At 43.4% G+C, this 23,564-nt stretch overlaps 1 protein-coding gene and 1 long non-coding RNA gene across 12 annotated transcripts in view; one reads left to right on the top strand and one right to left on the bottom strand.

The window, feature by feature from the left end:
* Positions 1-19,411, bottom strand: part of LOC124900678 (uncharacterized) — a 30,104-nt gene extending 10,693 nt beyond the window's left edge. The window contains exon 1 of the long non-coding RNA XR_007058074.1: positions 19,352-19,411. This is a non-coding gene — a long non-coding RNA (uncharacterized LOC124900678). The remainder of the gene's footprint in view (positions 1-19,351) is intronic.
* PPARGC1A (PPARG coactivator 1 alpha) overlaps positions 1-23,564 on the top strand; it is a 680,885-nt gene that overhangs the window by 14,272 nt on the left and 643,049 nt on the right. The gene's annotated exons all lie outside the window — the stretch shown is intronic.

Genomic DNA, 23,564 nt, shown 5'->3' with positions numbered 1-23,564 from the left:
ACAAATGTAATTGCCTCTCTGAAAAGATGCACCAACTTACACTCCAGACAGGTACATGTAAGGGTACCAGATGGAGAATATCATAAAATAAATCCTCATATTACAGTATTTTCTTATCTTTTCCTTTTCTTTTGAGACAGGGTCTCGCTCTCTCACAAAGGATGGAGCGCAGTGGCACGATCTTGGCTCACTGCAACCTCTGCCTCCTGGGCTAAAGCCATCCTCCCACCTCAGCCTCCCAAGTAGCTGGGACTACAGGCGTGTGCCACTACACTCAGCTACTTTTTGTATTTTTTTGTGGAGATGGGGTTTCGCCATGTTCCCCAGGCTGCTCTTAAACTCCTGAGGTCAAGAAATCCACCTGCCTCAGCCTCCAAAAGTGCTGGGATTACAGATGTGAGCCACTATGCCCAGCCCAATATTTTCTTTGTGCATTTGAAAACCCCAAAATAACCCTTTTTAACAACCATACATATTAGTCAAGAGGTCATTCTTACAACTCTGATGACCTTCCTTCATCTTTAGTTTTTGCAAATTCTTTTGGCTGCTAGAACCAAATGTTGGTCAAGGGATCCAAGCAAATAGTTTACATCAAGAGTTTAACTCCAGTTATCAGAGCCTTTTTTTCTTTCCTTCCAGGGTATAATATCTCTGCAAATACCTACTGGCCTATGTTCTGTTGAGATCTACAGAGAAAAATCTTTCTTGTTCTATTTACTGAACTACCTAACTTCAAAACAAGGAATAAACCTGGACTCTAAACAGTATCTCGGTCAGGCACGGTGGCTCACGCCTGTAATCCCAGCACTTTGGGAGGCCAAGGCGGGTGGATCACGAGGTCAAGAGATCGAGACCATCCTGGCTAACATGGTTAAACCCCATCTCTACTAAAAAATAAATAAATAAATAAATAAATAATAAATTAGCCAGGCGTGGTGTCGGGTGCCTGTAGTCCCAGCTACTCGGGAGGCTGAGGCAGGAGAATGGCGTGAACCTGGGAGCGGAGGTTGCAGTGACCCGAGTTTGCGCCACTGCACTCTAGCCTGGGGGACAGAGCAAGACTCCATCTTAAAACAAACAAACAAACAAACAAACAAACAAACAAAAAACAGTATCTTTTGTTATTCCTGAGATAATTCCAAGAGAAGAGGAATGTTGACTATATCCTATGGCATCATTATTGTTTGTCTGATTGGACCCAGGCTAGAAATCTTAAAGATATTTGTGAAAAATAAAGCTCATATTCAAGATGAAACATTAAACCCCACAGTGAAGGTCATTCTCATTCTCTCTGGCTTGCCCCTCTTTCTTTCTCACTTGACTTTCTCATAATTTTTTTCAACAACGTCTTTGGACCCCGGTTCATTAAACTCTCCCTCCCCACATCTGATTTTTCCCCAAGAAAGTGCATTCTGGAGAGGGCAGGGGGAGTGACTATTCATTTGTCTACACTTCCCAGGCTCAAAGGAGCTGTGGTCACTATTGCTTCCAAAACATTCCTTTGCCATAATCCTGCAAAACTGTATGATCCCATACCTCCCAGTGAAATTCCCATAGACCATATTCTACCCTTTTTCCTGGCTGTCTTATTGTATCCCTGTTACTTCCTCTGGTCCCATGAAGGCTCAGTCCCTTGGCTCATGTCCTCTTTGCTATCTGAACTGCCACCATCAGGGTGGTCTTCAGCATCTGCGTGTGCAGGAAATATCCAGTGACTTAGCTTCAGAGTTGCAAGACTTCATCCCCACCATACTTTGCCAGCTCAGTCACATTGCCCACACTCTGGCCTTGTCTTCTGTAATGTCTCTGCTTCCAGAACATTAAACTCCAGTGTAACCATATCTGGTTATACCCTCATAGCCTCTCTGCTTGCTCCCCTACTCTCCCTTTTTCCAAGTTCATTAACCATGCTTTTCCCCTGACTCCTTTTAGCCAGCTGAGAGATCCCATGATATATTATGTTAACCACTGTCTTGCTAAAACCTCAAAGCTCTTAATCTCTCACCCTTCTATATCTGTCCACAAAAATCCTAGTCTTGGATTGGTGCAACCAACTGTTCTGTTTGCTTCTGCATGCAAGCTATTTCCTGCTGTTGGAAAAAACCAGCCATACCAAAGAATGCCAGTATAATTTTATTATCCTCAACTTCAGCGTCATCTAGCAAATATCGTATGGAATATCAAGCTCACTCACTGTTCATATCTGCAGCTCTGAACATTTCCCACTGTCCCCAACTCCCCTGCCCACCAATGGGCTTCCTTCCAGGTAAGGATTCATGGTCACCCAATGTGAATTCCCTCAACCTCTTGTCTCATATCTGGAAATCTCTTATCTTTCCACCCCTAGCTTTTCTTCCACCTGTGCTGTGGATATCATCCCTTGCCATCCTCTCCAGGACTTCAATGCATCAGTTACAGCTTTATGACTCAATAAAATTAGGAATAAATGTACCAAAATCTCTCCCATCTTGAAAAATTCTCCCATCAATCTTTCACTTCCCTTTAGGGGTTATTTGTCTCTTTTTTTCCCTTTGTTGCATGGCATGAAAGGCCCAGCTAATGCTGGGTACTATACCTTTTAATGGCATTAATCAGCATGAGTGTGACATTGGCTGCCACCAGTAGCTCACAGATTCTTTGAGCAAAGAGGCAGATAGTGTCTAAAGCAGCCTATCTGCCAAGCTCAGCTAGATAATTATCTTAGTTCATTTTGTGTTGCTATAACAGAATACCACAGACTGGGTAATTTATAAAAAACAGAGATTTATTTCTTACAGTTCTGGAGGTTGGTAAGTCCAAGAGCATGGTGCTGATGTTTGGTGAGGGCCTTCGTGTTGCATCATTTCATGGCAGAAGGTAGAAGGGCAGGAACGCATGAGAGCAAGAGGGCAAGAGGAGGTGAGCTCCCTCTTATAATAAGCTCACTCTTGGAACAACTAACCAACTCTGGAGATAATGACAGTAATCCATTCATGAGAGCAGGGCCTTCATCACATAATTAACTCTTAAACACTCAACACTGTTGCATTGGGGATTAAGTTTCCAACACTTGAACTTTGGGGGACACATTCAAACCATAGTAGTTATACTCATTGTTTCCAATTCATCCCCTTCCAGGCACTTTTGTAAACAAAATTTATTTTAATTTTTTTCAGAGACTTGCTTTTGCTATGTTGTCCAGGCTGGAGTGCAGTGGCACAATGATGGCTATTGCAGCCTTAAACTCCAAGACTCAAGTGATCCTTCCATCTCAGCCTCTCGAATATCTAGGACTGCAGGCGCAAGCCACAAAGCCCAGCTAATTTTTTATTTTTTTGTAGTGACAGAGTCTTGCTATGTTGCCCAGGCTGGTCTCAAACTTCTGGCCTCAAGTGATCCTCCCACTTCAGCCTCTCAAGGCACTGGGATTACAGGCTTGAGCCACTGCCCCGGCCCCATTCATTCTTTAATGATGGCTGGTAAGAGTCAGCCTTCAATGCTTTGCTAAAACTCTTCTGGCAATGACTTTATAATTCCCAAATGTTTGGGACTCTTATCAGCCCTATTTGTTTTTTTAGACATTACTATGACTTTGACTCTGTTGAGAATTTCCTTTGACTTCTCTCGTGTATTTCATCGGTTTCCTCTTCTCCCTAATTGACTTTCCTGCTTTGCCTGATGTTAGATGTTGATGTTCGTGGGGTCCTAACTTGGATCTCTTGTTCCTTTATTCTATTCTTGTTTTTTTTTTTGTGACAATCTACTCATGGATGGAAATCAGTCACATGACTATCTTTCAGATTTGTATTTCAAAATAAGACCTCTTGCCTGAGACTCGGAACTATTTAACTAACTGGCTTCTTGACAGTCTCAGATATTTCAAACACAATATGTCAAATACAGATTTTTTTTTTTTTGAGACAAGGTCTCTTTCTATCACCCAGCTAGGAGTGCAGTGGTGCAATCCTGGCTCACTGCAGCCTCAACCTCTCAGGTTCAAGTGATCCTCTCACCTCAGCCTCCTGAGTAGGTGGGGCTATAGGCATGCACCACCACACTCAGCTATTTAAAAAATTTTTTTTGTAGAAACAAGGTCTTGTCATGTTGTCCAGGCTGGAGTGCAACTCCTGGGCTCAAGTGATCCTCCCATCTCAGCTTCTCAAAGTGCTGGAATTACAGGTGTGAACCACTGCACTGGGCCCAAGGCAGAATTTCTTATCCGGATTGCTTTGCTCTTGAATTTCTTATCCAGGCAAAAGGAAACAATATTTATCCCACATACCAAGTAACTTTTTCAGTGTACCAAAAACTACCCCAAAACTTTGTGTCTTAAAACTGAAACCATATACTATGTTAAAAAAAAAAACCAGCAACCATGTATAAGTGCACAATTATATGGGTCAGGAATATGGGCTAAGGTCAGCTGGGTGGGTCTTCTGCTTGACTCAGCTGGGTTCACTTATGTCTTCAGTCAGCTGGCAGTTGATTGCTCATCAATCTGGCAGATGGCTGACTGCTGGCTGGGGAATTGGGGCTAACACAGCCATGTATCCACGTTTCCATCATCCAGTAAGCTAGCCCAGGCTTATTCAATAGTAGTGATCAAGAAGATTACCAAGAAGAGTAAGGGAGAAGAAGCTTGCAAGGCGTCTTGAGGCCTAGGCTTGTTACTAATAAAGCATCACTTCTATTTTGTTCTATTGGTCAGAGAAAGTTACAAGGCCAGCCCATATTTAGGAGTTGAGAAATAGACACTACCTTTTGATTGGAGTATCTTCAAGACCACATCATAAGGACAGGTATGTGGAGGTGGGGTGGAGGAGGGGTGAAGGGATGGGAGTGGGGAGGGAATTAGCGACCACTTTTTTTTTTTTGAGACAGAGTTTCACTCTTGTTGCCCAGGCTGGAGTGCAATGGCATGATCTCGGCTCACTGCAACCTTCACCTCCCAGGTAGAAGTGATTCTCCTGTCTCAGCCTCCCAGGTAGCTCAGATTACAGGCATGTGCCACCACGCCCAGCTAATTTTTTTGTATTTAGTAGAGATGGGGTTTTACCACGTTAGTCAGGCTGGTTGCCAACTCCTGACCTCAGGTGATCCACCCACTTGGCCTCCCAAAGTGCTGGAATTACAGGCGTGTGCCACTGCACCCAGCCTAGTGGCCACTTTTATAATTTACTACACCCATAACTCAAGTCGACCTGCATCTCTTGCTTTCCTTCTCCTTTTGCTTCTAGTCAGTCATTAGGTCAGGTTGATGAAGCCTTTATGAGAACTCCCTTACTTGTTCTTATCTTCAGCCATTGCTGTACATCATTATTAAGCTTAGCCTCTGTATTAGTTTGCAAGAGCTGCTGTAACAAGTACCACGGGCTCGGTGTCTTAAACAACAGAAATTATTTCCTCACAGTTCCGAAGGTTGAAAGTCTGAGATCAAGGTGTTGGCAGATTTGGTTCCTTCTCAGGCCCATGAGGGAAAGGCTCTGTTCTAGGCCCCCATCCTTGCCTTGTAGTTGGCCATCTTCTCCCTGTATCTTCACATGGTCTTCCTTCTGTGCCTGCCTGTGTTCAAATTTCCCCCTTTTATAATGACAGCTGTCATACTGGGTTAGGATTCACCCTAAAGACCAGAGTTTAAATGCAGTCACGTCTGTGAAGGTCCATGTCTCCAAATGCAGTCACATTCTAAGGCACTGGGTGTTAAGACTTCAACATGAATTTCCTTAGGGGGTAGGAGGAACACAGTTCAGCCAGTAACAACCTCCTTACACCCCCGTCATTTGCCTCATTCTAAAATATCATTATTATAGTAATAGAGTTGAAATCCCAGGCCCTTTGTTGGGGATGTTAATGCCAAGAGATATTATTTTTTGCCGCTATTTTTTATGTCTCCCCACTAGACTGTAAACTCCACAAAGGCAGCATATTTATTTATCCTTGTGTTTCCAGCACATGGAACAGTATTCCACGCCACACGTGATTGAATAGAGTATGAAAAAATTTCACTTATGAAAAAATAAGTAAAATGAACAACCCAGGGCAGGTGGTCATTCAGAAATACAGTGATCTCAAGATTTATAGTTTAGAAAAGAGTGGTGAATGTGTGGCCTAGTGTCTTTTAGCTGGCTGTCAACAAGGAAGCGAATGGATCCTAACCTTTGCCTATTCAAAGTCATATTATAACTAGTGCACAATGATGGAAGGAATGAGGTCGAGAGAGTAGAACTTCTTAGACCTCCCTATGCAATTAGAACACATTTTGTTAACTAAAGGAAGCAGCTGAAGCTTCACTGGAAATGACAACAATGTTAGATAGTCTGTATTAGAATTCTCCAGGAAAACAAAACCAACAAGAATAGGGTGCATGTGTGCGTGTGTGTGTGTGTGTGTTTGTGTGTGGGGGGGTGGGGCAGGCAGAGAGAGATGATTTATTTTAAGGAATTGGTTCATGCAATTATAGAGGCTTGGTAAGTCCAAAATCTGCATGGCAGGCTGGCAGGTTGGAGATCCAGGGGAGAGTTTCAGTTTGAGTTGTAATTCTTCTGCTAGAAGTATTCCTTCTTGCTCAGGGGAGGTCAGTCTTTGTTCTATTCATGCCTTCAACTAATTAGATGAGGCCCACCCACACTTGGGAGGGTAATCTGTTTTACTCAAAGTCCAATAGTTTAAATGTTAAATCTCGTACAAAAAACACCTTCACAGAAACATCTAGAATAATGTTTGACCAAATATCTGGGCACCATGGCCCAGTCAAATTGACACATAAAATTAACCATCACAGCCGGGCACAGTGGCTCATGCCTGTAATCCGAGCACTTTGGGAGGCTGAGGCGGGCAGATTGCGAGGTCAAGAGATCGAGATCATCCTGGCCAACGTGGTGAAACCCCATCTCTACTAAAAATACAAAAATTAGTTGGGTGTGGTGGCGTGTGCCTGTAATCCCAGCTACTCGGGAGGCTGAAGCAGGAGAATGGCTTGAACCTGGGAGGCAGAGGTTGCAGTAAGCCGAGATGGTGCCAGTGCACTCCAGCCTGGCGACAGAGCAAGACACCATCTCAAAAAACAAACAACAACAACAACAACAAAAGACAACCCAAAAAAACCCAAACCATCACACAGTCTAGCTCTCTTGGTCCCATGAGGCACTTCATGGCATAGAATGTAATGACTGTAATGTAGGTAGAAGAACTGGACTAAAATAAATCAGCAACTGACCTATGTACATATGTAGAAGAGACTCTCATTGAAAGTGCCATTAGGGTCGTGCTTGTTTTAGAAGTCAGCCAGCTTTTAAAAGAGATATTTAGTAGCCTAAAAAGGGATAGTCAGAGGATTTTCTGTAGCCAGGGTAGAAAATATGACAAGCCCTGAATGTTTAAGAAAATGTTAAAATTCTTATTTGATGGTGAACTTAATTCCAGTCAATAAGACACAGTACAAATATAGAAACAATATCCATTTTTATGCAGACATCAAAGCAAAGTTTATGGTATATGCTGGCAAGGGGTATTTCAGATTAAACAAAATAATGAAAATCAAAGATTTATTTGATTAGGAACCCAAGCTGAAGTGCTGATTATCTCAGCTTTGTTAACTTCCTTTACTATTACTCTTAGATCTATTTGTGATTCTAATCAAATTCCCTGTAGTTTCTTGTCTTTGAGCAGACTCAGAAGAGTTCTGAAAAGAAATGATAATTTTCTTAGACAGCTTTTGGTTTCTGAGACAGTCTTTCATAACAGAAGAGGCATCTGTGGGTGGTCATTTGAGGGACAACAAGAGGCAGAGAGGTACATTTCCACTGAGCCTTGAAAACATGTATAAAGGCAGGAATTTGGAACAGCTATTTTTTTTTCCTTCAAATGGTCAAATATTCAGATGATGAAATACTGTTTTCAAAGATGTCTGTAGGCATCTGGCCCAGACTGAATATGCAGTGTTTATGAAGTCAAAGGAAGAAAGAAAGATTACTTGTAATGATGAATTCAACAAGGTGGTTATTAATACTGCCATCATTTTTACTGGTGAGAAAAATATAGACTTTAGATCCCCCCACCTTTTTTTTAACTGGGAAGAGAAGGATCTTTGAAACAGTTATATTTTCCTAGGCAGCTTTGTGTAAGAATTCTATATTGCTTTAAAGTTTTGACCCTTCTAAATAAAAATCTTGCCATATGAAAGTTCTAGAAAGAAATGTAAGTATAATGTGATGGCGAAGGTCTTGTGTCTTGCAGTCAGCTCTGCACATTACTAATCCTCAGCTTTCTGATCTGTAAAATGGACATTTTAACATTCACCTTCTGAGGTTAAGAGTTAAAGGAGTTCGTACATGTGAATACAAGACAAAGCTTAGGACAATGTGTGGCATGTGGGAAGCAAACAGAGGCCATCATGATAATGTTGGTATAAAAGGAGGGAGAGAGAGAGACAGGTGTGGCACATATGAACAGAGGCTAACCATGTTTACGAGAGACCATTTTTGGGGAACGATAATGTCCACTTGACCCAGTCATTTGTTTCTTCATCCTCTTCTAGACTTGTTCCCACAGACCATGTTGGTGATGGGGTAAGTTTCAATAAAATATTTTCTAGGAACAACACATTTATTTCTTTGTTGAGAAGCCCTATGCTCTAATATATACCAGTTAGGTCATTTCTAGAAAGCTGTTGTCTGGTTTAAATATTTCTTTCCTGATTTGCACACAAAATGGAAAAAAACTGCCCATTTATTTGCAGGGAATAAAAACATATAATACAAAAGAAAATTAGAAGGTAAAACTCCAGAATAACATGATTCTTCAGAAAATACAATCCAATTATAGGAGAGAGGTAATATCCGGTTCTTTTTTGTTGACCTATAATAGATGCAGATTACTTAGGTATTTAATATAGAGTGGTATTTCAAAATCACATGATGACTATTATTTCTATTATCAGTGGAAAAAGTAATATTAAAGTAGAAATTAGTACTTCAGACTTATAAATGGAGGACAAAAGTCTTTTGTGCAAAACTACCTGAAAAATTATAACTCTTTCAATCACAAGTCAGAGGATTGTTCTTCCAATAAATATTTTTGGAGGCTCTATCATGTGCCAGGCATTGTTTTAGAACCTAGAGCCTTGGCTTTGATGGAATTTATAATCTTGCAGGTAGAGACAGAATAAAACAACAAAATTGAATGCAGTTACAAGATAATTTCTGAAAGTGAGAAGTGCTATAAAGATTCCAAAAAGATCATGTGATGGGATAGACAATGATCAGCAACAGGAAGTGTTATAGGACCAACAGTTTCCTATGCCCGTTGCACAGGAACAGACCAATTACACTGAGGCAGCAGGGTTTGCATCAGAGAAAGAGTTTAATGGCTGCAGGGGGCCGAGTGAGCAGATGGTAGAAGACCCTCAAATCCATCTCCCCAAGGAGTTCTGGGCTGGGTTTTTAAGCAGTTCATGGAGAGTGAGGGGCTAGAAAATTGGGGTCGTTGATTGGTTAGGATAAGGGGCAGGAAATCATTGAGACATGGAAACTGCCTTCGTTGGTGAGTCAGCTCTTGTGGGGTCCTGCAGACCAGCTGACGTCAGTAGTTTCACTGGTATGTGGGACCTGAAAGAACATCTCAAAGGGAAAACAACGTTTTATGATGTTCAAATTTTTATTTGTAGAGCAGTTAAGGGGAACTATAATCTTGTAACAGGGTCTATGTGTTCTATGTGATTCTGAGGCAATAGGCACCAACAACTATGAGGAAGCAGATCCAAGAGCAGGCAGATCTCATGATTCATGTTGCATGTGCTGCAAGCTTGATTTATCTTTGTTTCCCCGCCTCCCTTCTTCCCTAATTTTATAAAGTTGATAGGCATGGTTTCAATGGGGTGTGTGTGAGACATGCAGGGAGGGGTATTCAGACTAGGGGTGGTCACAGGAGGTCTCCCTGGAAAGGTCGTGATTAACCTTCGATCTTCTGGGTAGTGTTCCAGGCAGAGGCCAGGTGGGAAGCAACTCCCTATGTGGCCACAGCTGGGAGAGTTCGAGGCTGTGGTCTAAGATAAGGTCAGAGATGATAAGACCCCAGGTCCCTCCATACTGTGGGTGATGTGAGGAGTTTAGACTTTATTTTCAGTGATGTGGGAATCCAGTGGAGATTTTAAAGCATGGGAGGGACATGGCCTGATTTATGTTTTTCAAAGATCACTCTGACAGCTTCAAAGAAGATGGGCTGTAACAAGAACAAGAATGAATCAGGAGGAAAGTGAGGGGCTCTTGCATAAAGCAGCAGAGATGGATGGTAGGGCAGGGACTAAAGATGGAGAGGCATTCACCTAAACAAAGAAGAGTGTGGGCCGCTGCCTCTGCTTACCAGCATTCTAGGGACATCTGTGTATTTGGTAGGAAGTGCAACTGATCAATCTGACGTGGGCTCCTCAAACGTTAAACAGCCTCCTGGGCCAAGGCTGTTTCATCAAGTTAGATTACTGTAAAGTGTGGAGCAATGATACATTCAGTTATATAGGAAAATAATGTTTGCTTGGGTTAAAGGGGAGATTTAAAAAAATCTAGCGTGATAAAAGTTTAGTAGCTCGTTAAGGGCAGATGTCCACGGTTCTTTGTGAGGAGCTGGAATTCAGTGGTAGATGAGAAGGGTGCACTGCAGCAGACACGCTCTGTGTACTCTTGGGAACCCTCTGGTGTTTTTAAAAATGCGTGTTTTAATGTCTAAATAAGCAAACCTGTGTTTTGTTAGTTATGGAGCAGAACGATTGCCTGGCTTGAAGGGCTTGGTGATGAAGTCTCTAGATGCTGCAGGCCATTGCCTCCTGTTGTTCTGTGGGAAAGGATGTCTTCTGGGACTGTTTCATGCCGATGTTTTCTCCTAACGTTTAGGACCTAAATGGGGCAGAGGTGGGTTGAGTGTATATGTGGGGGAAGTGAGACAACTGGGGAAACTGAGGAGCCCAGGGACGTGGTCCCTGTCCTTTGCTTTTGTTCAGGTTCCTTTGTTTGCAAGGAGGAAACCCACTCAACTGGACAGCAGATGCATGACGAGGATTCAGACACATCATGGACTCCAAGGTGAGAAAGTGAGGTGAAGCCACATCTCCTGTGAAGTGGGACTGGGCTCTGCAGAGGCAAGGTCGAGACTGCTGACCTTCCTAGGAGCCCCTTTATGCACTGACTCACCTGGCCTGAGTTTCAGCCCAATGGCTGCCAGCCCTGTTTCCACATCATCACTTTTTCAGCTCCAGTGCCGCATCCCTGGGCTCCTCAGCTTCCCTGATTGTCTCACTTCTCCTGTGTCCCTTCTCTGGTTGACTTAGTTCCATTTTTCCAGAGGGCAGCTCTGTTTGGCTCAGCCCCTGGTTGGTGATGATGGTCCCTTGTGTACTCAGCAGAGCTGGGCAGGGCAATGATGGAAGTGTCAATTGTTGTTGTTTTGTGAAGAGCCATCTTCTGTTTCTCCAGAGCCTTGGGATCACTTGGCAGGGGAGGGAGGAGAGTGTTAACAGTTACTTCTTGGAGAAGGCTCTGTTGGGGCTCAGTAGCTGGCCTGGCCTGTGGAGAATTCTAGAGAATTCCAGGGTGTCTCTAAGGGAGGGCTGGAGCAAGGCCGTCTTGGAGTAGCAGCAGTCAGATAGACGATGCTGCCAGAGGCTGAGGACCTTCTCTAGAAAGGGGTGTCTTTGATTCAGTGGGTGGGTTTTAACTTGTAAAATAAGGCAAAGTTGTGAGATAGTTCTCTAGCATTAATAAATTCAATCTGGGAGTGGTGGCTCACGCCTGTAATCTCAGCACTTTTGGAGGCCGAGGCGGGTGGATCACCTGAGGTCAGGAGTTTGAGACCAGCCTGGCCAACATGGCAAAACATCCGTCTCTACTGAAAAATACAAAAAATTAGCCAGGCGTGGTAGCAGGCACCTGTAATCCCAGCTACTCAGGAAGCTGAGGCAGGAGAATTGCTTGAACCTAGGGGGCGGAGGTTGCAGTCAGCCAAGATCGCACCACTGCACTCCAGCCTGGATGACAGAGCAAGACTCCATCAAGAAAAAAAAAAAAAAAAAAAAAATTCAGTGTTTTCCACTTCACCTGCTCTGTGAGAGACCTTTTCTTTTCCTCTGGCCGTTAGCACACCTCTGTACTGTTACTTCGCTAAAATAGTCTTTGTCTCCTCTTTCCCCTTGAAGGAATTAAAATATATAGAAACTCCTACAACTCAATGGCAAAAGACCCAATAATCCTATTAAAAAACAGGCTAAAGACTTGAATAGACATTTCTCCGAAGAAGACACACAAATGGCCAACAGGTATATGAAAAGGTGCTCAAAGGCACTAATCATCAGGGAAATGCACATCAAAACAATGAGATACCACCTCACATCTGTTAGGAGGGCTATTATAAAAAAGTAAAAAACAAAATATAACAGACAGCTGTTGGTGAAGATGTGGGGAAATTCAACCGTCCTTCTTATCTTGGCTTTGGAGTATGCCAAGTTCCAGAATGAGGTCCTGTTGAGAGAAAGCTGCCTTACCACTCAGAATTTCAATTATATTGAATGGATGAATGTCTTTTTTATTTTTATTTTTATTTTTTTGAGACAGAGTCTTGCTCTGATGTGCAGGCTGGAGTGCAATGACGTGATCTCCGCTCACTGCAATCTCTGCCTCCCAGGTTCAAGTGATTCTCCTGCCTCACCCTCCCAAGTAGCTGGGACTACAGCACATGCCCCCACACCAGGCTAGTTTTGTATTTTTAGTAGAGACAGGGTTTCACCATGTTGGTCAGGCTGGTCCCGAACTCCTGGCCTCAAGCGATCCGCCCGCCTCAGCCTCCCAAAGTGCAGAGATTAGAGGCGTGAACCACTGCGCCTGGCCTGAATAAGTATCTTTTAACCAGCAATGTTCTCCAGATTCTCAGAACACATTTGGCAAATGAAGGCATCCCCTTCCTGCCCACTAGACCCAGAAATGTATAATGGTGGGATTTTCTGATGCTTTTCATGTCCTGTCTTGCCCCACCCAGATTAAAGGAGCTACAGATGTGATCTTGACTTACCCTCTGAAATACTTTCAGTGCGAAGCTTCACATATACCAACATGTTTCCTGAGAGGTTTGGAAGAATCTAATCCACTGCATGAAAATTGTTATTATTTTATAATAATCAGAAAACCCACTGTGTGTATTCCAAACAGGGCCTGTGTAAAATATACGAATCCAGTACTGACAATCTGGTTGTGTCATCAGAATAGACAAAAAGGAATTGTCAAGATATCGATTTTGTATCCACACAGCCTTACGGACACATGGTTTAGGAAACGTTTAAATGAAAGACCAGTCAGAGCAGAGGCATTAGATAAGTCTTCAGTATAGAAAAACAATCAGTCTTGAGATCTTATTCACACCTGTGAATGCCAGTGACCACAGACGGTTTGTTCCTTGTTGACTGGGGTGATGGTCTTAACATTTTGGGAGACTCTAAGAGGGATTAGCCATAGAGGATTTGCTGAGATGACTACTTCAATGTGAAGCACTGTTCAGGATTGTCAGGTCAGTGTAGGGATGCTCAAGTAGCTGTGGTTTTCTCTCTCTCTCTCTCTCTTTTTTTTTGAGACAGGGTCTTGCTCTGTTGCCCAGGCTGGAGTGCAAGTGGCGCAATCACAGCTCACTGCAACCTCCACCTCCTGGGCTTAGCAATCCTCCCACTTCAGCCTCCCGAGTAGCTGGGACTACAGGTGTGCGCCACCACGTCCAGCTAATTTTTACAACTTTTCTAGAGACAGGGTTCACCATGTTGCTCAGGCTGGTCTCAAACCCCTGTGCTCAAGCCATCTGCCTGTCTCCCAAATTGCTGAGATTACAGGCTGGAGCCACTGCACCTGGCTTTTGTCTCTTTGTTCTTTCAAGCAGATACAGACTCACTTGCTCGTCTAATATTCACTCAGGCTACTATCCCAGAATCAGTTCTTCCCAAGTTTAAGGTGGTCTTTGCTAGGAGGCCAATCCTGACTTTCTAAGTTACATCAATCTCTCACCTTCTGTGATGTTCATATAGCAATGGCTCATGCATGACCCTGTACTGTTCTCTGTTTCACTGTGTTGCTTCATTTTCCAGTCCAGACTGTAGGCTCTTTGGGTGTAGAAATGATTCTCAAAGCTGACTTGTTCTCTTTGTGACAACTTTACCCCTAGCTTTTATTTTTTTTTTAAATTTTTAAATTTTTTTTGCTTGGATAAGTGCAGTAGACTCCTAATTGAACCACTTAAAAACAAAGTTTTTAAAACACAGGTCTGACTGTGGCAATTCCTTGTTTAAAAAGCCTCTGATGGGGCAGGGTGCAGTGGCTCACACCTGTAATCCCAGCACTTTGGAAGGCCGATGGGGGCGGATCACCTGAGGTCAGGAGTTTGAGACCAGTCTGGCCAATGTGGCGAAACCCTGTCACTATTAAAAATACAAAAATTAACCGATGTGGTGGTGTGTGCCTGTGTAGTCCCACCTACTTGGGAGGCTGAGGCAGGAGAATCGCTTGAACCCTGGGAGGCGGAGGCTGCCTATATTGTGTCACTGCACTCCAGTCTGGGCAACATAATGAGACTCTTTCTCTACAACAACAACAATAACAACAACAACGACGAAATTACTCTCAAAGCTGACTTGTCCTTTTTGCAACAACTTTACTCCTTGCTTTCATTGTTTGTTTTTTGCTTGGGCAAGTGTAGTAGACTCTTAATTGAACCACCTGAAAACAAAGTTTCTAAAACAAATCTGGCTGTGGTAATTCCTTGTTTAAAAGCCCTCTGGTGGGGGCCAGGCGCGGTGGCTCAAGCCTGTAACCCCAGCACTTTGGGAGGCTGAGGCAGGCGGATCACGAGGTCAGGAGTTCGAGACCAGCCTGGCCAACATAGTAAAACCCCATATTTACAAAAAAAAAAAAAATTAGCCGGGCATGGTGGCAGGCGCCTGTAATCCCAGCTACTCAGGGAGCTGAGGCAGGAGAATCACTTGAACCCAGGAGGCAGAAGTTGCAGTGAGCCGAGATTTTGACACTGCACTTCAGCCTAGGTGACAGAGCAAGACTCTGTCTCAATAAATATATAAAAACAAAAACAAACAAAAACCAAAAGCCCTCTGGTGGGTACCATTGCCTTTGGTGTGGTTTCCGACACTCTGCACAGCCTCCATGACCTGGTCATTCTTGCCTGTGCTTTCAGTTCCCACCTTTATGTTTCCACATTCTCCCTTCCCCAGTGCCAGAGCCAGATGAGCTGTTTCCTGGTGTTCAGGTGTGACGTCATCTCTCATTCTGCTGATCCTGGGCTTTCACTGGTCACTGGACTGGACCTTCCTTCCCTACTCTTTACGGTTCTGAAGTTTGTGGTATATTATTTAAAAAAAAAAAAAAAACCCATACATTTTTCAAACTAAAATAGTGACGTTAAAACTGAAGGAAGAGAGGTAAGGAATGTGTGTAATGATGAACGTTATTTGACCAACCAGACAAATATATAATTTGTGCAGGTTAAAAAAGCATATTAATAACTTCATGAGGTTAACCAATTTAGGACTCAATTAGAAATGTGATCCCAGGAACTACATACAAATTATTATAATTATGGTGACAGGAAATGGCGCTCCTAGGAAATGGCAGAAGGCAGAAATTTAAAAGGGGAATATATTATTTAAAAGTCAGGCAGCTTGTCTTTGCGTCCCTAAGAGTTGAATTGGGAAAATTAAAGATCTCAGATCATAAAACTACCAGCAGAATGAAGTACTAAGCTAATCCACTCAGCAGAAAGCAGTTCACCACCATAATTGGAAATACAGGCTCGTGGTTACTTAATAGAAGTGAACATTTAATCATGTCAGGGCCACTGTGTGCCGTAGATTTAGCATACCATCTCTAACATATTTTGCAACTTGGACAATTAATTCCACACCTTTACTGTCCCATATTCAGCTTTATAAAACATGTCCTCCCCATAAAAATAAATGTATGTGGCAGATAGCCCCCTCTCTTGTTTGCCAAAAAACAGATTACTATCAGGAAGGCCGAATTATCACCTGCTGTCAACAAATGGATTACCCAAGTTAAGGTCATTATTGTTGCTGTCATTCTCTTACATATTAAAACTGTTATTTATGAACATAGGAATGAAATGGATGATCTTAAATTTATCTGGGGTTTCTATGAGACCTTTTTGAACTTCATTTTGCATGCTTGTAAGATTACGAATTAAAACTATCCATGCAGCCCCACATTTTTTAAAAAATAAATTGCCTCTTTAAATGAAGATTTTTTTTCCCCTTACTGCTAAAGGTTTTAGATTAGCTCAGCAACCCATGAACCTTTTCATGTTGTCATCTACTGACATTTTTCTTTTTGAGTTTTTAGAAATATAATACAAGATAAAAATACACTTGGAGGTGAAACAGCAAGAGGTAGAGATAACAAGAATATTTAGTTTACTCATCTGCTTTTATTTTTCCATTATTATTTATGTAATTTATATTTCTACTTTTTTTTGAACTCTAAAGTCTATTTCAGTTAACTTTGATTTCCACGATTCTGATTTATTTAATTAAACTTTTTGAAGACTTTTTGCCACTCTATTTAAATGAAACACGACCAAGGAGAAAATGAATATAAACATCTTTGCATAACTGATACGTTGAAAAATGCATGACCACTTAAATGTCACAACTCGGCCTAGCATTTCTTTTTCATTCTGATGCTACTGAATTTTAAGGACAAGCTGCATTTTGCATTTGTAGCTTTGCTTAAATCAGGGAGCAGCATGCTCTTGAGCTAAGAACCATCTCTCTGAGGAGCATGTTGTTGAGAGCTCAGAGTTTCTGCCTCCCTTCTCCTCCCCTCCTTTCTCTTCTTTCTCCTTCCTTTCTTCCACCCTTTTCCTCCCCTCCTCCTTTCCTCCTTTCTTCCTTCCCTCCTCTTCCTTCTTCCCTCCTTCCTTCTGTTTCTTCCTCCCTCCCTATTTCCTTCTTTCCTTTTTTTTGGACAATAGCCAGGGCTGTAGGGGTGACAGATGTGAGGCCAACCTTGGGCTGGGGCAGCAACAGGACATTCAGGGTGGCTGTCCCTCCTCCTATGTCCTGTAACATGCCTCAGGAATGAATTTTGTTCCGGGTGGTACCTCTTCCCTACTTCTGGCCCTGATGGTCCTGCTTATTTACTTGCTCTTCAGCAGTCAGACTGCAGTAGCTTAGACTCTGAGAATGAGGTAAGGTCTGATTCTGATGTCCTCCCAGCAGCACCCCACGGGCACAAGGGGGCAGGGGAATACAAATCAGAAGGGGAAATGAAAGGACAGAAACAATTAGGTTATTACAAGACAGAATAAATCAAAGCTAGAAGAAGAAGTGGTCAGGAAGCTATCATTTCGTAAGCACCTGCTAGGGTGGAATACTTCTGTGACTACAGGAGCCAGGCAGCATGACATTCTGGGTGGGTGATGACTGGAGCTTGTATTTGTCCCTTTGTCACAGTCCCCACCATTCCACAGTATCTCTCTAACAAACAACTGATGAACTGAAGACTGTTTTTAAGAAACAAGAGTTTTTATGTTATTGCAAATCTTAGCTTAATGTTGTGTTAGATTGCTTGGGAATGGTGGGGAACCTGTGAGCCAGAAAAACCTATGCTTTTCTGGGGGAAGCAGCTGCTTCTCCGTCAATCGTTGCTAGGTAGACATGCTGCATCAGTGATGAGTGCTGAGTTTTCAACAGAAGCAGATTCCAGGTTGGCTGATTTGATTTTGTGTGTGTATGAAATTTCCTGATTTTTAAATGTTGGCAATTAAATAAGAGTTGTTTTTTTTTGTTTGTTTGTTTGTGTTTTTTTGACAGAGTCTTACTCTGTCACCCAGGCTGGAATGCAGTGGTGCAATCTCTGCTCACTGCAGCTTTGACCTCCTCAGCTCAAACTATCCTCCTGCCTCAGCCTCCCGAGTAACTGGGACTACAGGCATGTGCCACCATGCCCAGCTAATTTTTTTATTTTTATTGGAGACAGGGTTTTACCATGTTGGCCAGGCTGGTCTCAAACTCCTGACCTCAAGTGATCCGCCCATCCCGGCCTCCCAAAGTGCTGGGATTACAAGCGTGAGCCACTGCGGCCGGCCAAGAAATCTGAAAAGTAATGAACACTCTGAAATAAATATGTCGGTGGGAGGCATGTGTCAGTTTCCAACTGTGGCCTGCCATGTGCCATGTTCTGTACTTTGCGTGAACTGGCTGAACCTCAGCCCAGCTCCATGGGGTCGGTATTGCTCTTCCCTTCCATGGGAATTAAAGGAAAAAACCGATGAGGAGCTTGAAAGAAAAATTCAACAAATGTCTCCTGAGGACCTACTATGTGCCAGAACCCATGTGGTCCCCTGTAGGAAGATGTAGAAGAGTTTCCTGCCCTGCAGATATTTCTGGTCCACCTCTGAACACTGGAGGGATGTATGAAAAGTTCACCATCACCACCACAATATTGAGATAACAGTTCAGAACAACAATACATAGACCTTCTAGGATTAATTGTGAAACAAATTGCACACATAATTATTGTTATAGGGACTCAGAGAAAAGAAGGAGACCTCTTTTTGTGCTTAATATAGGGCAAGGGATTTGAACAGGGATTAAAAGATTAGGAAGATTCTCCAAAACAGTTTGAATAATGAGGAGAGAAATTAGAGCAAAGCACTGAATTGGCTTCTCTTTTGGAAGAATTCCTTTTGGAGAAAAAGTCTCCTTCTTGGACCTTAAGGGATTTGGCTCTGAGGGTTGAGTCATGTTCCCATGAATGCACAGTAAAATCATGGTAAATCCAAGCCTAGAACCCCAGAGCCTATTTGTATAACCATCAACTGGTCATTTTATCAGGATTTATCTTGGATTTTTGATGTGCAAAGATCAGAGTGGTTATAACAGAAGTCTCTACAGAGCTACCGCAGAATCCCTATGCCTACTGTTGAGACGCTTTCTAATGCTGTCTTGGAATTCTTCCCGTTTCTTCTGGAAATCTTTTTTTCACGTGAAAGCAGTTGCTGGTAGTACCCAGATGGTGGCCATATAGTCCCTAGGTATGACAGTCTGCCCAATACCAGTTAAACATTATAAATAGTCAGTGGGTACTCCTTGAATGACTTTTAACCTTGAACCTGGAAGAAGTGAAGATTACAGGAAAAAAATTATAGCAAGTGCAGAGAATGGAAGGGAGCATACCAATGACTTCTAACTGGCAAGCATAAGTCCTAGCTGCTCAGTAGAGCAGTGGTTTTCAGACTTGGTCTTATTAACTACAAAGCTGTTTGTTCATTTGAACTCATTCAAAGCCCCCAAGTTTAAAACAGATGAAAATGGTTCTCTTACCTCCTCTCACCTGAGCCTTTCCTTAGGGTGCTGCGTTTAGCCTTAGGGGTTGGAAAGCCATTATTGCATCAGTTCTTCTCTTAAAGAAGGAGAAGGATGGAGAAGAATCAGAGATGGGTGTGGAAATGCAGGGAGGACAATATTCTAGGGCTGTGCTTTCCAAACTGCAGAACGTTTACCCAGGGGGTCGCAAAGCTGTGGGGGAGAGGGAAGGAGATACTGGAATTTTTATGTCAATTTATTTTGTATCTCATCCTTTTCCAGTTCCTTTTCGTTTGTGTTATAATGTGCATAATATATTAGTGCAGTCTAATTTATAATAAATTATATAATAGATTCCATTCCATTATATGATAAATTAAAAAATACATTCTGGGGGTATGTGCTCCACTTTATTTTTTTATTTGACTAATGAGACACAGGGTCAAAAATATTTGGAGGCCAGTATACTAGATGATGAATTTCAACCTTTTGTATTTCAAATCCCTTTCACTAACGGACTCAGATCCCACCATGATAGCAATGAGAAGCCCAGCTTTTCCAAGAAGAGAGTTTAACTGCTCAAAGGCATTCTGTAATTTGTCATTTATGGCAGGTTTTGAGAACATAAACATTGCAGTGGTATTTTTGAGAGGAAATGTTTATCATTATAGCGCCAAAACACATCGCAAACAGAAACAATAATTTCATTAGTAGCCGAAAATTGTAATAATGCTGTTGCATATAAATTTCACTGCTATGGTAATTCTAAAACACAAGGATGATGAATAAAATATTGCAATATTATTATTGGGAATAAACTTTATTGCCATGAGTGAGACACAAGTGGGAGGATTGATGGAGACTCAAATTTTGGATAATTGTTTTCAGCCAGTGGTATGGGTATTATCCACAGAAATGTATTCTCTTCTCTAGTATCATACCCTCGCCTCTGGTGGAAAATCCCTGCTCTGGAGAGAATGGGATAATGGTCCCTTCATTCCAGCCCCAACTCTCACATCTGTTTCTTACTCAGGCTTTTATTACCCCAGCAATTCCATCCTGTTGTGTGAGGTGAAACCCAAGGATCATCCTCCCTTTTCCTGTTCCTCCACATCAAATCTATCCCCAAGGGCTGTCATCAGTGCTACCTCTGGATTAGGTCTTGAGTCAGGTTATCTTTCTCCATCTCCCTGGCGACCCCTGGTCCAATCCTGGACTCTGCTGTGTCCTCTTGCTGGATCTGTCCCTCCTGTGCTGCTCCTTGCAGTTATTCATCACCAGAATGAGCATGGGCCTGCCACTCTCCAGCTGAAACCCTGCTGTAGGCCGGGCACAGTGGGTCAGGCCTGTAATCCCAGCACTTTGGGAGGCTGAGGAGGGTGGATCACCTGTGGTCAGGAGTTCGAGACCAGCCTGGCCAACATGGTGAAACCCCTTCTCTACTTAAAAACCAAAACCAAAACCAAAAGAAACAAAAAAACTAGAAACAAAGAATTAGCTGGATGTGGTGGTGGGTGCCTGTAATCCCACTTGAACCTGGGAGGTGGAGGTTGCAGTGAGCTGAGATCGCACCATTGCACTCAAGCCTTGGCAACGAGAACAAAACTCCATCTCGAAAAGAAAAAAAAAGAAAGAAAAAAACCCCCAAAAAACCAAAACTAAAACAACAACAACAACAACAACAACAACAACAACAACAACAACAAAAAACCTGTGCCTTTCCCTTACTTACAGAATTAACTCAAAGTCCTTCACAAAGTCTTCAGAGCCCCGAGGGGTTGCCAGCCTCATCTCCTGCACCTCTCTACCTGGGTCACTGTGTCCGGCTACTCATGTCTCCCTTCTAAATCTTGGATACCAAGCCTATGGCAGCCCTAGGACCCCCCGTTCCCTCAGCACTGAGCTGGCTCATGTCTGCCCTTCAGGTGTTCAGCTATCTGTCTTTTCCTTGGAGAGCACCTCCCTGACCACCCCAGCTAACGTGGCCACTGGGAACCTCCATTTCTGTCCATCTGTACCCTAGAGCTGTGGCCTCTTCACCTCCAGGGGCTGCTGTTCCCACAGAACACAGGGCTAGAGGTGGTCCCTGAGGCTGTGCCATGAAGCAGTCCTTCATCATCCCTTGTCTTTCCTTCAAAGATCGTATCCCAATCTGACATTGCCATGCGTATTTGCTTATTATTGAGTAAACAAAAGCCCAGTCTTGAAAGAAAGGGAGAACTTGTGACTTTCAGGTTTGGAGTTTCACATCTAATGGGGAGGAACAAACACGATCACATGTTGGCAAAGAAAATACCCATGTGTTCCCCCTGCTCAGCTGAGGTCTCCCTAGAGCCAGCCCGCCAGACACTCCTGGGTGCGACCTGGGCTCTGGGGTGGCCAATCGCTGTCAGCTCTACGACCTGGGCTCTGGGGTGGCCAATAGATATTAGCTCTGTGACCTGGGCTCTGGGGTGGCCAATCGATGTCAGCTCTGTGACCCGGGCTCTGGGGTGGCCAACCGATGTCAGCTCTGTGACCCGGGCTCTGGGGTGGCCAATCGATGTCAGCTCTGTGACCCGGGCTCTGGGGTGGCCAATCGATGTCAGCTCTGTGACCCGGGCTCTGGGGTGGCCAATCGATGTCAGCTCTGTGACCTGGGCTCTGGGGTGGCCAATCGATGTCAGCAATGTGACCCGGGCTCTGGGGTGGCCAATCGATGTCAGCTCTGTGACCCGGGCTCTGGGGTGGCCAATCGATGTCAGCTGTGTGACCCGGGCTCTGGGGTGGCCAATCGATGTCAGCTTTGTGACCTGGGCTCTGGGGTGGCCAATTGATGTCAGCTGTGTGACCAGGGCTATGGGATGGCCAATCGATGTCAGCTCTGTGACCAGGGCTATGGGATGGCTCATAGATGTCAACTCGTTGGCCACCTCTGCTCACCTGTGAGAGCTGCACAGAGCGGTGCTGTGTCGAGCCACATTGGAGCCTGAGGCAGTGGAAAAATCAGTCACACCCATCCTGTCTTTATTTCAAATTTTGACATTTTGCTCATCATCAATTTTTTGGTGTCAAATTTATACATTGCATTAAAATACTATCTTGCTTATTGAGATTTTGGTGACCCATTAAGTTTTGTATCCAAGGCCAGTATCTCACCGGCTTCACTTTTATCCTGGCTGGGAACATTATATTGATCGGGAATATCTAAGGAATATGCAATATAAGGAATTAGAGGCTTAATTTGGCTCAGTGGAATAGTGGTTGAGGAGTGACAGTGGCTCATGTGTATAGAGTTGGGTGGATGCAACCTAGCAGCCCATGCTACTAAACTGACAAACAAGAGTGGTACACATCAGGGGCTAGGACATTTCACAGTTATTTTTTTAACAGCTCAGTATTAGCGACTGAGGCCCGGTAGCAGGGTCATAACTAAATTGCAGAAAAAGCAGGGCTTGGGCATCTCTTGGTCTCAAGTTCAAATCTTGCTTTTGCCTACTTATATGCTGTGTGGTTTAGGGCAAGTGATTTGTCTTCCTTGAACCTCAGTATCTTTGTTAGTAAAATGGAAATTTTAAAAAATCACCTCTTAGTGGGGTGGTTGTAAACGTTAAATGAAATGATTGGTTCATTCCAATCCTATCTACAGGGTGCTGAAAATGTGCCAGCTGTGGGCTTAGCTCTGGGATTCAAAGGTGAGGCAGTGAAATGAGGAGAGGTTGTCTCACCTTTCTGGAGCTTGCAATCTAGTGGAGGAGGTAGACATTTGTCTGAGTCACAAACATGTTAAGTCCCCAATCTGTGAGAGCCTTGGGGAGAGCTTCCTCCAGGGAGCCATGATCTAGGTGAGATCTGATGAGAAAACAGGAGTTTACTAGGCACAGCAAGTAGGAAGGGCTTCCATGCAGGGGAAACAGCTTGTGCAAAGACCCAGTGTGGGCAAAGGCATGGCCTGTCTGCAGAAGTGAGCAAATGCCAGTGCAACTGGAGGGCAGAGCATTAATTTATGTAATTTATGATGTCATTGTGCCATTATCAGACTTCTTGCTGGGCCCTCGGTGATACAGGGAGGATGAGTTCCAGGTGCTTCACTGTCCTTCTAATACTACCTGAGGGAAGAACAGTTCTGCCTTCAAAGGCAGGAACTGAAGTCTAGGTATAGGGCTGTATTTCTAGAGAAGGTCCCAGAAAGGGGCAGGAGAAGCCCAACAGCGTGAAGAAAGAGGAAAAAGAGTTAAAGCAAAGACAGCCA

Source organism: Homo sapiens, chromosome 4 (genome assembly GCF_000001405.40).
Source record: "Homo sapiens chromosome 4, GRCh38.p14 Primary Assembly".
NCBI lineage: Eukaryota > Metazoa > Chordata > Mammalia > Primates > Hominidae > Homo > Homo sapiens.
Note: the sequence above shows the minus strand (reverse complement) of the source record. Positions and strands in the feature narration are given on the sequence as shown.